Source organism: Homo sapiens, chromosome 21 (genome assembly GCF_000001405.40).
Source record: "Homo sapiens chromosome 21, GRCh38.p14 Primary Assembly".
NCBI lineage: Eukaryota > Metazoa > Chordata > Mammalia > Primates > Hominidae > Homo > Homo sapiens.
Genome location: NC_000021.9, coordinates 13,778,813 through 13,793,666, shown reverse-complemented (window position 1 = coordinate 13,793,666; position 14,854 = coordinate 13,778,813). Strand labels below are relative to the sequence as shown.

At 40.6% G+C, this 14,854-nt stretch overlaps 1 pseudogene; it reads right to left on the bottom strand.

The window, feature by feature from the left end:
* On the bottom strand, nucleotides 339-1,034 carry FAM207CP (family with sequence similarity 207 member C, pseudogene; annotated as a pseudogene).

Below are 14,854 nucleotides of genomic sequence, written 5' to 3'. Positions count from 1 at the left end.
CCCAAGCCAGTCCCCACGGCAGCCCCTGCAGGCCTCAGTGCTTCTGGATCCCACCAGGGTCGCAGCAGGAACCGAGGCTGAAGCAAATCAGGGCGGCTGGTGGCACAGCTGGGGCCACACCCAGGCACAATTCCTTTCCAACACAGCCAGGAGACTATCTTGGCGGCACCAGTGCCTGCTCAGGGACGGACTTGGGGCCTCCACAACTGCAGTCCCTATGAACCCTGTGCACGGTACACCCTGACTGCGTGGGGGCTGGGGCCCCCAGTGGAGGGATGTGGCTTGTTGTCCTGAGGAGAGCGGGGGCAGCTGTCCCAGGGTGGGCCCAGCCCTGTGAATCAGGGAGCAGCTCATGGGAATGGCCCTGGGGGTGCAGGGGAAGTTCACAGAGCCATTTATTGAGCCCCACAACCGACCAGAGGGAAGGGCGTCCACCAGGCTCAGGCCATGGTCCTTGAGGGGCTGGTGCTGTCTACTTGGCCCACACATGTGTCCCGAGGAGTTGTGGCATGCCCGCTGCCCTGGTCAGAGCTGGCCACCATCTTCCAGCTGCATCTGCCGGGCCAGCGTCTGCCCAATGGCTAACAGGGGGCTGGCTCTGTAGGCCGGACTGGCCAGCAGCTCCTGAAACCGGGTCCTTTCTTCCTCGAGAAACTGCTGTCTCTGGGCTGCACTCATCCGGCTGAGCTCTGAGGGCCAGGGCTTGTTGCTCTCCCTGCTGCAGGCCTGGCGCCGGCTGCCAGCCTCAAGCCCCAGTAGCTCAGGCAGGGCATCCCTGAGCGGGTGCAGGTCCCCCACCACCATCCTGGCCCTCTACCTCCGCTCCTCCCTGTGCTTCTGCTCAGCCAGTTTTATGGCTTCGATTTTCTGCAACCATTGCTCACGCCTCAGCTTCATTTTCTCCTTGGGCAAAACGGTCTTGGCCTCTGCACCTCTCCTGATGGAAGTGACGCTCCTTACGTCCAGCTCCAGCTTTTGCACCAAGGCACTGGGGTCTATCTTGGTCCTGGCAAAGATGTTGGTGTTGACGAACGGAGGTATAATTCTTATTAGTCCTGTTTTTATAGATGAAGACAATGAAACAGCTATTGCAAACTTATAACTGAGAAAGAGATCTGACCTAACCAACTGCATCTGCTTTTAACCTCCAAGCTGTCCTTGTTCATTCCTGGGTGTAGGGTGAACTAACTTTGGGAGGAACTTACTTTATAGTGTAAAACGAAGATGTTAACACCCCTTTCTCAAAACAAACCTCCTTCTTGCCTGGGGACTAGACTGCCTTTGTAAGACTAACAAATTAGTTACAAAATTAGAAATTGTGGTTTAGGAGTCATGCAGCTGGAGGCTACAAGATTCTAATCCTCCCTAAACTGCTCCTAAGATCAGTGCTTGAGGTATTTTGCAGACCCGGCACTTGATGGATCAGCTGGCACCCAGTTTATTGAAACACTCAGATCGATAAACTGGCTCATCTGATCTTGTGGCCCCCACCCAGGAACGGACTCAGTGAAAGAGGACAGCTTCAATTCCCTATGATTTTGTCTCTGACCTAACCAATCAGCACTCTGGACTCACTGGCCTTCCTCCATGCACCAAATTATCCTTAAAAACTCTGAAAGCTCTGGGAGATGGATTTGAGAAATAATGAATCTCCAGTCTCCTGTACAGCTGACTCTGTGTGAATTCACTCTTTCTCTATTGCAATTCCCATCTTGATTAATTGGCTCTGTCTAGGCAGTGGCCAAGGTAAACCCACTGGACGTTTACAACACTGAGGCACAGACAGGTTGAGTGACCAACCCAAAGTTTCACAGGACACAGTAGAGTCAGGATTTGAACACAGACATTCTGACTCCAGAGTCTATGCCCTTAACCACAACTCATACTAATTCATTTATCTTTTTTGTCCATGTTTTCATTTATTTTCTTTAATCTACAATAAAACTTTGATTTTTACACTGGCTGAGGATGAAGTAAGAATGTTGCAAATAGAAAAATGTTAACTGAAAGACACAATTTATCTTATTCTAGCACCAAAAATGATCAGGCCTATTTTGACCATGAATCTCGCAAGCTGTGCTCTCTAAACTTTTGGATGAGAGGGCGTAGGCTCAGAGTCTGGGAACTCTGTCTCCCTCGCTCCCTCTACTAAGTAGGTTCCATGCTCTATTCAAGTTTGAGAGACTCTGCTTGGTTGGGGCCTGCATTTATGTTACTCCTATTCTTTATACTTGGCACATCACAGACCATGAAAACGTAATCTGGTGGAAATGGCAAGTTTGGATTTTTAATCTCAGTTGTTAAAATTTTTCCAAATGAGAACATTTGGACACAGGGCAGGGAACATCACACCATAGGGCCTGTTGTGGGGTCGGGGGAGCGGGGAGGGATAGCATTAGGAGAAATACCTAAGGTAAATGACAAGTTAATGGGTGCAGCAAACCAACATGGCACATGTATACCTATGTAACAAACCCGCATGTTGTGCACATGTACCATAGAACTTAAAGTATAATTAAAAAAATAAAAAATTTAAAAAAATTTCCAAATATATTTATCTTTTGAATAATCTAAGGCCCTTATCCCCCTAAGGTTTACATGGCATAGTTCATACTGCTTTTACTTTTCAAAGCCGTTAATCTTTTGTAATAACATTTTGTATTCAGTTATGTTCCTTTGCTTAGTTTTCAACCTTGTTATTCACCAAGCTGATTTTATTAATTAACACAGAGAGAGTCAGGAGTATCTGAATTAATTAGGTGATAGTGAACTAGGAGGAAATCACAGGCCTCAGTGTGAGACAAATCTGGATTTAAATCCCAGCTCTAACTCAGTCCATGACCTTGAGGAGGTCAGGTGGGGTCACTGGGCTCAGTTTCCAAATCTCTAAAATGGAGATGACAAAATCCACCTCACAGAATTGTTGAAAGGACAATTACATGTTTGAGAACATGTTACTGTAGTGTCTATAACCTATCACGTGTATAGCAAATGATGATGATGATGATGCTAATTTAAAAAATATCTATTGAAGGTCCCAGAAGTTTTACTTTAACATGTTGATTTTTGTCCCATGGAAAGGCACATGATTTGGTGGAAAATATAACCCCAAATGTTATTATGCATTGCTCTGTAAGATATTAACAAGTTTTATATATAACCCAAATATCTTAACATTTTAAAATTAAATGGTCTATAAATACCTAGCTCCTCAAATATTGTTTGAACTGGTCTTAATATCTAATTGTTTCCCCACCTAATTAATGAGTTGAACAAAATCCTTGCCATATATTCATATTATATTTGCATCAGTGTCCTAATTATATCGTTTGAAATTATACTTTAGCAATAAGAATAAAAGTCATAATCCAAATGTTAGCACTTAGCATGGGAATGAGTCTATCAGTCAGGGTTTAGTCAAGAAAAACTGGTTTCTCTAGATAATCCAAATTAAAAAGGTTTAATGCAGATGTCAAGAAGCCTATACAACCATTGGAAGACTAGGGGAAGCTGAGGTCAATGAAGCCACGGTGGACAACCTCAGCTCAGCTCCCAGCTGAACAGTTTCCTCTTCATTGTCCATTGTCCTTGAACTTCCAGATATTTCTCTTCAACCATCACAGTCTGCAGTGATGAAGGAGTGGCTTTCTGGTGGAGCCTCTTAGCATCTCATGGTTGTCCACATTTCTGCCTTTAACCCCCTTTAGCCTGTCATTTGTTTCAGCCTTCCAAATCTTCAGCAAGGGAAGGGACTTCTTGGTAAACCAACCTGTAACCATATGGGAAGGGCGTTCTGCAAATGTAGCTCCCAACTTTTCTGAAAGACAGAGGAACCCTTAGAAGGGAGAGTTGGTGATGCCAAATTGGCAATAAATAACCCAGGACTGCAGCTCAGCTCAGCACCTAACTCCATAGGGCACTCACTCACTTCAGGAAGGGTGCATTTACTCAGTAAGACAGATTAAAGGATCACTTGGTTGGTATGGACTCAGACAAAAGTGAGCTAAGTGATCTTTAAACAAATTTGACCAAGCTGAGAAATACCAAAGACTTATGATTTTTCAATCAGAAAACACAGCATGGAATAGCAGAAAGAGTACCAGACTGGAAGCCAGAGAACCTGGAATCCAGCTCAGCCTATCCTGAACTTGCTAGCTGGGGAAGCCCTCAGGGTGGTCACTTCACCTCTCTGTAATTCAAGTTTTGTCTTCTATGAAACAAGGAAAATAGTATCTGTCATGCCTCAGAGAATCACCACAAGGTTAACATATGTGGAAATATTTTAAAGTGTACAAACACCATATCAACATTAAAGTCCCCATATGAACATGAAGACCTAAGGTTTTCTTGGTTTAGTCTGAAGAAGCTTCCAACACAAGGCTGGATTAGGAAAGATGAAAATGAAATAAAAGTTGGACAGGGGCTGGGCGCAGTGGCTCACGCCTGTAATCCCAGCACTTTGGGAGACCAAGGCGGGCAGATCATGAGGTTAAGAGATTGAGACAAGCTTGGCCAACATGGTGAAACACCGTCTCTACTAAAAATACAAAAATTAGCTGGGCATGGTGGCAAGTGCCTGTAATCCCAGCTACTCAGGAGACTGAGGTAGGAGAATCACTTGAACCTGGGAGGCGGAGGTTGCAGTGAGCCAAGATCACACCATTCCACTCCAGCTTGGGTGACAAGAGCAAAACTCCATCTCAAAAAAAAAGTTGGACTGGGAGCCTTACAGAGTTCACACATATTTGTAACATTCTTCAGATGTCGTGTGCACAAATTGGAGTTATTAGTCCAATATTTATAAAGAAAAATCATATTTTGAATGTAGCCAAATAACTTCCTAATTAAAATGATATGATCCTTAGAAGGTTTTTGGGGAGGAGGTAATGGAGAGAGGATCAGAATTAGGAGGATCAAAGTAGAATGCATATACTTGAAAGTAAATATAAGGCCAGGTGCGGTGGCTCACGCCTGTAATCCCAGCACTTTGGGAGGCCGAGGCAGGCGGATCACCTGAGGTCAGCCTGACCAACATGGAGAAACCCCGTCTCTACTAAAAACACAAAATTAGCCGGTCATGGTGGCGCATGCCTGTAATCCCAGCTACTCAGGAGGCTGAGGCAGAAGAATTGCTTGAACCCGGGAGGTGGATTGCAGTGAGCTGAAATCGGGCCATTGCACTCCAGCCTGGGCAACAAAAGCGAAACTCCATCTCAAAAAAAAAAAAAAAAAAAAAAAGAAAAGAAAAGAAATATAATCTTTGGCCAAAGAAAAATAAAAGCTCTACCTAATCAGTCTGCAGAAATGCCTAGAAAATAAACCATCTTCTAAGTATATCAGCGATTTTAAAGATGATAAAGTATGAGGAAGGGGGGGAGTTGTCTATGAGAAAAAGTATATAATTTTACAACATTTTATGTTTATTAAAAGGGAGCATGGGTTAAAACCACCATGAGAATTAGGTCATCAAACCATGAACAATAGACTAATATTCCCCCAAAATTCCTACGTTGAAATTCTAATTCCCAATATGATGGCATTAGGAGATGGAGCCTTTCATAAGTGATTAGTGATTCATGAATTGGTGAATGAGATTAGTGCTCTTATCAAAGACGTGCAAGAGATCCACTGCAAGAGAAATCAATTGCAGGAGAAGACACAGAGAGAAGACAGCCATTGTCTGTGAACCAGGAAATGGTCTCACCAGATACTGATTCTGATAGTGACTTAATCTCAGCTTTCCAAGCCTCTAGTACTGAAAGAAATAAATTTATGTTGTTTATAACCTACCCAGTTTATGGTATTTTTGTAACAAAAATTTCTGTAACAGCCTAAATGGACTAAGATACCATCTCTAAGTAGAACAGTCATCCTAAAGTAGTTACAACACAACAAAAACAAGGGAAAGACTTAATTGAAAAATTTCATTCATGAGATGTAATAAACTAGGTGAATTTAGTAATGGGAAATGATTCTGCGAGGGACTTTTAGCATTTTCACCCTCCAGAAGCATGTCAGAAAAATCTAGCACATTATTCCCTGGGTGGGACAGATTTGGGAGAATGCATGCTACCTTATCAGCTCTCTGTCCCTCCCTGGGAGACTGATGCTTCCCAATGCACAACTCAATTCAAAGTAGCAACGTACTCTGAAATTTCATCTCTTTCTTTCTTCTTTCTCTTTCTTTCTTTCTTTCTTTCTTTCTTTCTTTCTTTCTTTCTTTCTTTCTTTCTTCTCTCTCTTTCTTTTTTTCTTTTCTTTCTTTCTTTCTTTCTTTCTTTCTTTCTTTCTTTTTTTTCTTTCTTCCTTCCTTCCTTCCTTTCTTCCTTTCTTTCTTTTCTCTTTCTCTTTTTTCTTTCTTTTTTTCCTTCCTTCCTTCCTTCTCTTTTTCTTCTTCCTGAGACAGGTTCTCACTCTGTTGCCCAGGCTGGAGTGCAGTGGCATGATTATAGCTCATTGCAGCCTTGAACTCCTGGCCTCAAACTATCCTCCCACCTCTGCCTCCTGAGTAGCTGGGTCTACAGGCATCCACCACCATGCTTGGTTAATTTTTTAAAGTTTTTGTAGAGATAAGGTCTCACTCTCTTGCACAGGTTGGTCTTGAACTCTTGGCCTCAAGTGATCTTCCCACCTCAGCCTCCCAAAGTGTTGGGATTATAGGTGTGAGTCACCATGCTCAACCCAGAAAGTATTTTTATGTAAAAATAAATTATGCAATGGCATTTTATGAACTTCAAAGAAAAATACTTTGTGTTGTTCTCATATCTGAGAATAAAAATGATTAATTTTCTAAACAAAACATATTCTGTTATTTTACAACTTTTCTCAAAATGGAAGGGTTTAAATTGTGATTAAAAGTAGTAGGTAGAGTGTACACCTATGTTCATAGCAGCATTACTTACAATAGTCAAGATTAGAAACTACTCAAGTGTTCATCTACAGATGAATGGAAACAAAATTTATATATATATATATATATATATATATATGAATATTATTCAGCCTTAAAAGGGAATGAAACTCTGACACAATACTACAACGTGGAGGCATCTTGCAGACATGCTAAGTAAAATAAGCAAGCCACAAAAAGACAAATACTATGGGTCCACTTACATGAAGTGTCTAAAGTAATAAAATGCATAGAAATGGAAAGTAGAATTATGGTTGCCAGGAGCTGAGGAGAGGGGAAAATGAGGAGTTGTTTAATGGGGATAGAGTTTCAGTTGTGACAGATGGAAAAGCTCTGGACATTGATTACACAACAATGTAATTCACTTAACGCTATTGAACTGCACACTTAAGAATGGTTAAGATGGTAAATTTTATGTTATGTGTATTTTACCACTATTTTAAAAATTAGTTGAAAAATAGTAGGCCAAAATTTGTTTCTAACTATGGCTTCCCACCGCCATTTAGGGGGAGTTTTGTTGTGAAATTTTAGGTGATTTACTTTGTCAAATTTTACTGAGTCATGGGTTTGTTTTCCCATGGAAAAATTACTAAAATAAGGGCATGTGGAAATACATAACACTTAAGTCACTTCCAGGAGAGGTATTGCAAAGGTGTGTCCATAAGACTTTTGACTTTGATGAGATAAAAGCTAGGCTGCCTTTTCTTCCTTCTCACTGCATCCCATCTCCCAGGGCCAGCCCGTTCCTCAAAAGAGTGAAAAACATAGGAAAATTACTGCCTTAACTATCCTGATCTTCATTTTTTTTCCTGTGTAAAATGAAGACATTAATAAACAATGCCTTTCTTGTTAGAAATGTAAAGGTCAAACGTAAAGAAATGTGAAATCCTAAGTCCTGCATGCCTTCTACCACTGATCTAGTCACGTGTGCCAGCTGAACATTCCCTGGGCTGCAAGTGATGTGACTGATGGTTTTATCCCTGGTTTTCCCAGGGAGAAATCTAGACACAGAAATCCTGAAAAATGCCTCTGCGGAAAGGTGGATCCAAAGTGGGTCTTCTAAGGGAAGCTGCAGAATGTTTCTCCCTCAGCCTATAGTTTGACAGAATGCTAAGATATCAAGATGAAACTCTGAAAACCCGAGGATTTTTCATGGATTTCATTATTCTATTGAAGACCTACAAAAAAAAGTGGCTGATAAATATATTTTTAGAAATTGCTTTAGTATGATTTTTATTAATTTAAATTAACATTTATTTAATTAACTACATAAAATCTGTGTATAAAAGAGGCAAAAGATTATTCTTGCTCTCAGCCAGACAGTTGCTGATAAGGTAGTTTCGACAGGAATCTCATAGAATAAGAGGGCCCTGACTCAACAACCATCAATATGGTTGGAATGTGGTATTTGCTCTTCCTGGAAACAATGCTTCTCACTTATAGAGTTTATATTCAATGTGGTGTTAATACATAGACCTCATCCAACTATCTGTCTGTGAAATCTGAGTTCCTACTCAAGTCAATATCCTGTAATATGCTAAACAAAAAACCTCCTGTATTAGTTTCCTGAGGCCACTGTAACAAAGTACCACAAACTGGGTGGCTTAAACAACAAGAATGTATTCTCTCACTGTTGTGAAGGTCAGAAGTCCAAAATCAAGGTGTTAGCAGGGACACCCTTCCTTGGAAGGTTGCAATCCTTCCTTGCCTCTTTCATCTTCTTCTGGGCCTTTGCATTTCTTGGTCTGTGGCAGGATAACTCCAATCTCTGCCAGAGGTTACAAATGGCCTTATACCCTGTGTCTCTGTATTTTTCCCTCTTCTCATACAGACACCAGTCATTACACTAGATTTTTGTATGCACTGTAAATCCAGGGTGGTTTTATCCCAGAATCCTTTTTATATCCCAAATATATCTACAAAGATTCTCTTTTCAAATAAGGTCACATTCTGATGTTCCAGGTTGGAATGCTCTGAATGTTTGTATACCCCCAAAATTCGTATGTTCAAACTTTTTTTTTTTTTTTGAGACAGAGTCTTGCTCTGTTACCTGGGCTGTAGTACAGTGGCACCATCTCAGCTCACTGCAACCTCTGCCTCCTGGGTTCAAGTGGTTCTCCTGCCTCAGCCTCCCTAGTAGCTGGGATTACAGGTGCGTGCCACCACGCCCAGTACTTTTAGTAGAGACAGGGTTTCACCATGTTGGCCAGGCTGGTCTCGAACTCCTGACCTCAGGTGATTCACCCGCCTCAGCCTCCCAAAGTGCTGGGATTACAGGCATGAGCCACCATGCCCAGCCCATGTGTTGAAACTTAATCCCCAATATGAGAGTGTTAAGAGATGTGGCTTTTTTTGGGGGGAGGGGTGATTAAGCCATGAACACTGATTCCTCATGAATTGGATTAATACCCTATAAAAGAGGCTTCAGGGACCTTGGTCAACCTTTCTGCCATGTGAGGACACAGCGAGAAGGCACCATCTATGAAGCAGTGAGTAAACCCCCACCAAACACTGAATAGGAAGTCATCTTGATCTTGCATTTCCCAGCCTCCAGAACTATGAGCAATAAATTTTCTTTTGTTTATAAATTACCTAGTCTATGGTATTTTTGTTATAGCAGCTCAAATGAACTAAGACACAGATGCGTATAAATTTAGGGAAAAATTATTCAACCCACTATACCTCTTTCCCTTTCACTAATTCCTATTTGATTAATGGTGCCTGTGGTTTATTTAGTGACAACAATATCTATGGTCAATATGTGAGATTCTCAGAAAAGGAAATGTAGCCATCAGCAGCCAACAGAAAGTGGGAGGCAATGGAAAACCTACCTCATTCCCCATGTTAGAGAAAAAAAATCAATACATGAAGACATGAAATAATGCTTTGTGGGTCTGTTTTATTGTAGCTTCTGTATATGTCAATCTTTTATGCTCAGCTTTCTTCATATCTTATTTTTTAATTTTAGTATAAAAATAAATGTTTTATTGCCTTCAATTTACCATTATTATTTTTTACATCAGTTGTTCTTTGTGTGTGTGTATGTGTTGGATTTACTTTTCTGGAGTGTGAATGCATGTGGTATGTGTGTATGTCTGTGACCTAAATAAGTTTTTCTCCTGAAAAGAAAACAACATCAACATTTAAAGATGAGGTTAACAGAACTCACTTTATTAAATGCCTGCTATGTGTCCAGGCCTTGAGCTAAGAAATAAGAACAATGATGAATAAAGGCCATTCCTGCTCTCAAGGTGTTTGTAGACTACAAAGGAGCCTGCAACCTTGCAGCAAAACAAAAAAGTAAAGAAACACAAACCACGGAGCATGTTGCACTCAACAGAGGTTCATTCTCACCCATTGTGAAGATGCTGGGAGTAATTGGAACTTTGTTGAAGAAAACAGGGAGATCATTTCTGTTTTATCTGTGTATCACTGTGACTGCCTAGCACCATGGAGAGAGGGTCCCCCTTTCAGAGCACAAACTCTGACCACAGAGGCCCTTGGTCTATCCTTTGTTTTACTCTAAACTTTTCTCAAAATAATCATGGATGAAGCTGGAAACCATCATTCTAAGAAAACTAACACAGGAACAGAAAACCAAATATCGCATGTTCTCACTCACAAGTGGGAACTGAACAATGAGATCACATGGACAGAAGGAGGGGAACATCACACAGTGGGGCCTATTATGGGGTGAGGGGCTAGGAGAGTGATGGCATTAGGAGAAATACCTAACATAGATGATGTGTTGACGGGTGCAGCAAACCACCATGGCATCTGTATACCTATGTAACAAACCTGCACATTCTGCACATGTATCCCAGAACTTAAAGTATAATAAATAAATAAATAAATAAATAAATAAATAAATAACCCTTTGTGAATCTGTACTTCTGAAGAAAAGCCCACACAACTCTGGGACATTAGTATGCATCACAAGTAAGATTTTAAAAATAATTTAAAAAGTGTTATTTCTGTTTTTGTTACCTTGTCATTAAATAAGGTTTCTATCTTCCTTGACCTCTCAAGATCAGTGATTTAGCTACATGTAAATGCCTTCTTGCATTGGATTCTTCCCATAAACCAGACTGCTCATTTCTCTCGTGGATTGGGCCTTCTATGACTGCACATATATAGCTGCTTCAGAATAGAAAGCTACTTTCTCTCTTAGCAAGGTACGGCTTTTCCAATGTCCCCTCTTGCTTTGCCAAGTTGAATTCCAAAGTTGTGTTAAATCTCAGCTAAATCAGTGTATTTGCCTTTCCTGCTTATGGCATTAATTGCACTTTACCCATGCTATTATTTTCCATTTAACTTTTTAGACTTCCTAATTCCTTCATGTATTCTGGGATACCATTTGGATATGGAGATATTATGCAAATGATGTAGAAAGGGAATGAACTTCAGCACTCCAGGTCAGAGTTACTTGGCTACTTTTAAGTATTTTTTGCACCTTCTTTTTTGGTCCTTGGGAACCTTGGACAATAAGCTGTTATCCACTTACATTTCTGAATTATACTTACATGAATCTGGTGCCAGAGAAAGTTCTATGGTAAAGAATTAAAAGCAATGATCCCACTGTTTACAATCAGAGCTGGTGACTAATGAGGGTGCCTCTCCTGACTCCTATCCCTCTTGCTAACCTTCCTCAGAGGAGTAAAGTTCATTGAGGCTGAGTATCTTCCAGACTCCTATTTTCTTCCACATAAAACTATACATTTTGTGAAAAAATTGGATCAGGGATTTTACTCTCTCAGGCATTAACTAGTAATTCATTCACTTTAAGAAAAGTGCAAGGAGAGGGGACAGAATGAAAATTGTAAGCTACCCTTTGGATGGGCTTATGAAAGGCCCATTTACTCACAGACTATAAGAAATGGAATGTGTATATTAACAAAAAGCAAACTGGAATCAGCCATGAAGTTGTGAATGTAGGAGAGGGGATTCTCCATCTTATTTTGTTTTTCCTTTTAACTTAAGAGCCAATTTTGCTAAGGAAGCCAAAATCCCTGTCTGTCTGGCCCATCATAATCGGATGTATGTAGAAGGTAGACAGACAAGGCACATGACAATGGCACAGATGCCGTTGGGTTTATGTCTGTCAAAGGGGGAGAAATTGTTCTTTTAAGATCCAGATTTTGAAGGCAAATAAACAAAAATTTCAGTCCCAAACCCACCTCCTCCTCATTGTGTGGTCTCTAGTAAGTTTCTGAAAATGTTTAAGCTTGGCTTTGTCAGCTAGAAAGTGGCAATAATCATTTAACCCATAAGTACCAGGTCCTGGCTGGATCAGTTGGCATGCTAAAAAAAGGATAACTGAAGAGGGTTTAATCAAGAGTTCATTCAGGGTATGGACAAAGCTAAGGAACCCACTAGAAGCAATGACGCACCCAAGGACTAGAGGTGGTGAAGGCCATTCCTACCATCAGTCCTGTAGGGATGGGGGAGGTAGGAGCTCTTATCAGAGCACTGGGGAACCTGCACATGGGAGATACTACCCAGCAAGAGCTGCTTCAGTGAGGGATGCTGCCACCGCCACTGCCACATCACTGCCTGGCCAGGTGGGGGTGGAATAAACCCCACTAAGGCTCTTTCCTCTTGCTTTCCAATCCCATGGCAATGTGCTCCATTGGCTGCACTTGACGTAAAGTCAGAGGACAAAGGAAGAGAGTGGCCAAGGAGGTGAGCTTCCTTTGCACAAAATCAGGTTAGAAAAGGATGAAGAGTGGATATGGAGGAGCAAATAGATAATTTTCAGCATCTGTCTGTATTAGATGACTGTTGTTTGCCCAGTATCCCTTCTTTTGAGTAAATGCTATGCCTCGCTCCATAAAACTTGAATGAGGCTGAAATAACATTTACCCTTCTCCAATGACCAGGACCAGAGAACTTCATCACCCTACCCTCTAGCAAATCAATCAAATTCAAATTTGAGATTTAATACAGGGTTTCTGGAAAATAGATAATCTCTTTTTCATTTGGATTATGAGCCATAAGGATGTAGACTTGGGCCAAGCAACAGTCATCTTTCCAATTATGCAGAAAGAACTAGCCTGACAGCAAAGACAATGCAAAAAGAGCACAGAAGAGTCCAGGAATAGGGAGAAAGAGGCAGGTCCATGGTGACTTTGTTTGAGGCCCTTTGTTTAATTATATCTAAAGGCAGATATGCTTTTTAACATTTCAGTAATATGCTTTTTAATATCCTATATTGGAAGAGTGGAAAAAGTTAATAAGGAAATGTGAAGCACCCAGAGGTTAGCAACAACAGAAAGTCTCTATGATATCAGAAATGGAGCACAAAGGGAGGCAATGGCACTACGGGATTCTCTGAGTTGGGGCCTCAGTAGGACCTGGAATCATGGAGAAGGAACTGCTTAGGAAATGCCAAGGCTGCCAGGCTGGAAGCATGGCAAAGACTGCACAACAGGAACCGAAACCAGAGAAGAGATGCTACCTCAAGTACAGAGAGTGAGAAGAAATAGTCTGGCTTCTCCTTCCCTTCCACCCTTTGGATGCCTGCTCCTCTGCCTTCACTTAGCTAAACCTAAGTCTGAGACTAACATTCAGAGCTGAGCAGAAAAAGGGGCAGGGTATGGCTTTCAGAGCAAATGAGTAATACACGTGGTCAGGACATATTCGTTCAGTTTTCCTCTTTCCTTCCAAAATGCATTCCAAACTTTAATGAAGGATACACAATTTTTTCTCAAATCTCAGAGAATGGGGGTCAGGTTATTTTCTGCTTAGAAACTTGAGTGGGTTACTACATAAGACAAGGCAATTTGGTCTGATATTCAAGTTCATTTAGACTATTGCCATAATTTATGGGCATGAAATAACATGATAGAAAAATGTAAAGGTAAATTGAAATCCAGTCACATTAGGCTACTTGCTCTTTTTGATTAGAGTATATTTTCCTGCACTTGCTAATAATATTCCTTCTGCCAGGCTTACCATCTGCTTCCCCATTTTTCTTTACTGAGATTTTATCTTCACATCACAAATTAAGTGCTATTCCTTCAAGAAACATACTGGCTTGCCCAAACTTTGTTGTATCTCTCCCTTCTTAAACTCTTATATCATTCTCATGGCACTCAACACTTTGGATCTTGTGTTTTAGATATTGAAATTTCTATCATATGCTTTGATAATAGATTGTGATTTCTGCAAAGGCAAAGAGTGATTTCCTCAACTTTGTATCCTTTGGGGTGGGTTTAAATGATCTCTTATACCTACTAGGTGTTTGATAAATGTTTGTTGTAGCAGATGAACACCTGAAACAGTAATTCAGAACCTTAGGTTCTAGTATTTTCTATGTCACATTAGTGTGACTTGCAGAATGGCTCAGCTTAACTTTTCCTATGTATAATGAATTCAGACTAGATGAATTCCAAGGTCCCTCCTGGCCCTTTCAATTCCCTAATTTCAAGTGGAATTTAGAAGAAAAAATTTGTAAGCAGCAATTTTATAGTTCAATTATGGAATTTCTACTTGGGGAAAGCTAACATTTCATGATCTCATTCTTGCTGGATTCTTTCTCAAGATTTTCCATGGAGCTGAAATTTACCCATGACCTTGAGAAAGAAATGCACATGCTTCATGATCCTCACTCCACTTTCTTGTCCTTAATGCTTTTCCTCTGATGATTGCTCATTTCACACCCCAAAAGGAACTCATTTTATAAACGTTTTACAGCGCAGCAAGCAGTAAAGAATAAGAAATTACAAAATATTATATCCTATGAAGAAACACTCTCCTAATGCATCCACAAAGAATCAAGCTCATAATTGCTGGTTTGTCAATTATAATGGTAAAATATGTATTTATATAATACATATGATATGATGGATGCTATTGGAGTGAGTTTGGCATATTTATTTATTTATTTTTTATGGTACTCATCCATGTTTCTGTTTATATATAGGATAACAAATTCAGAAACAA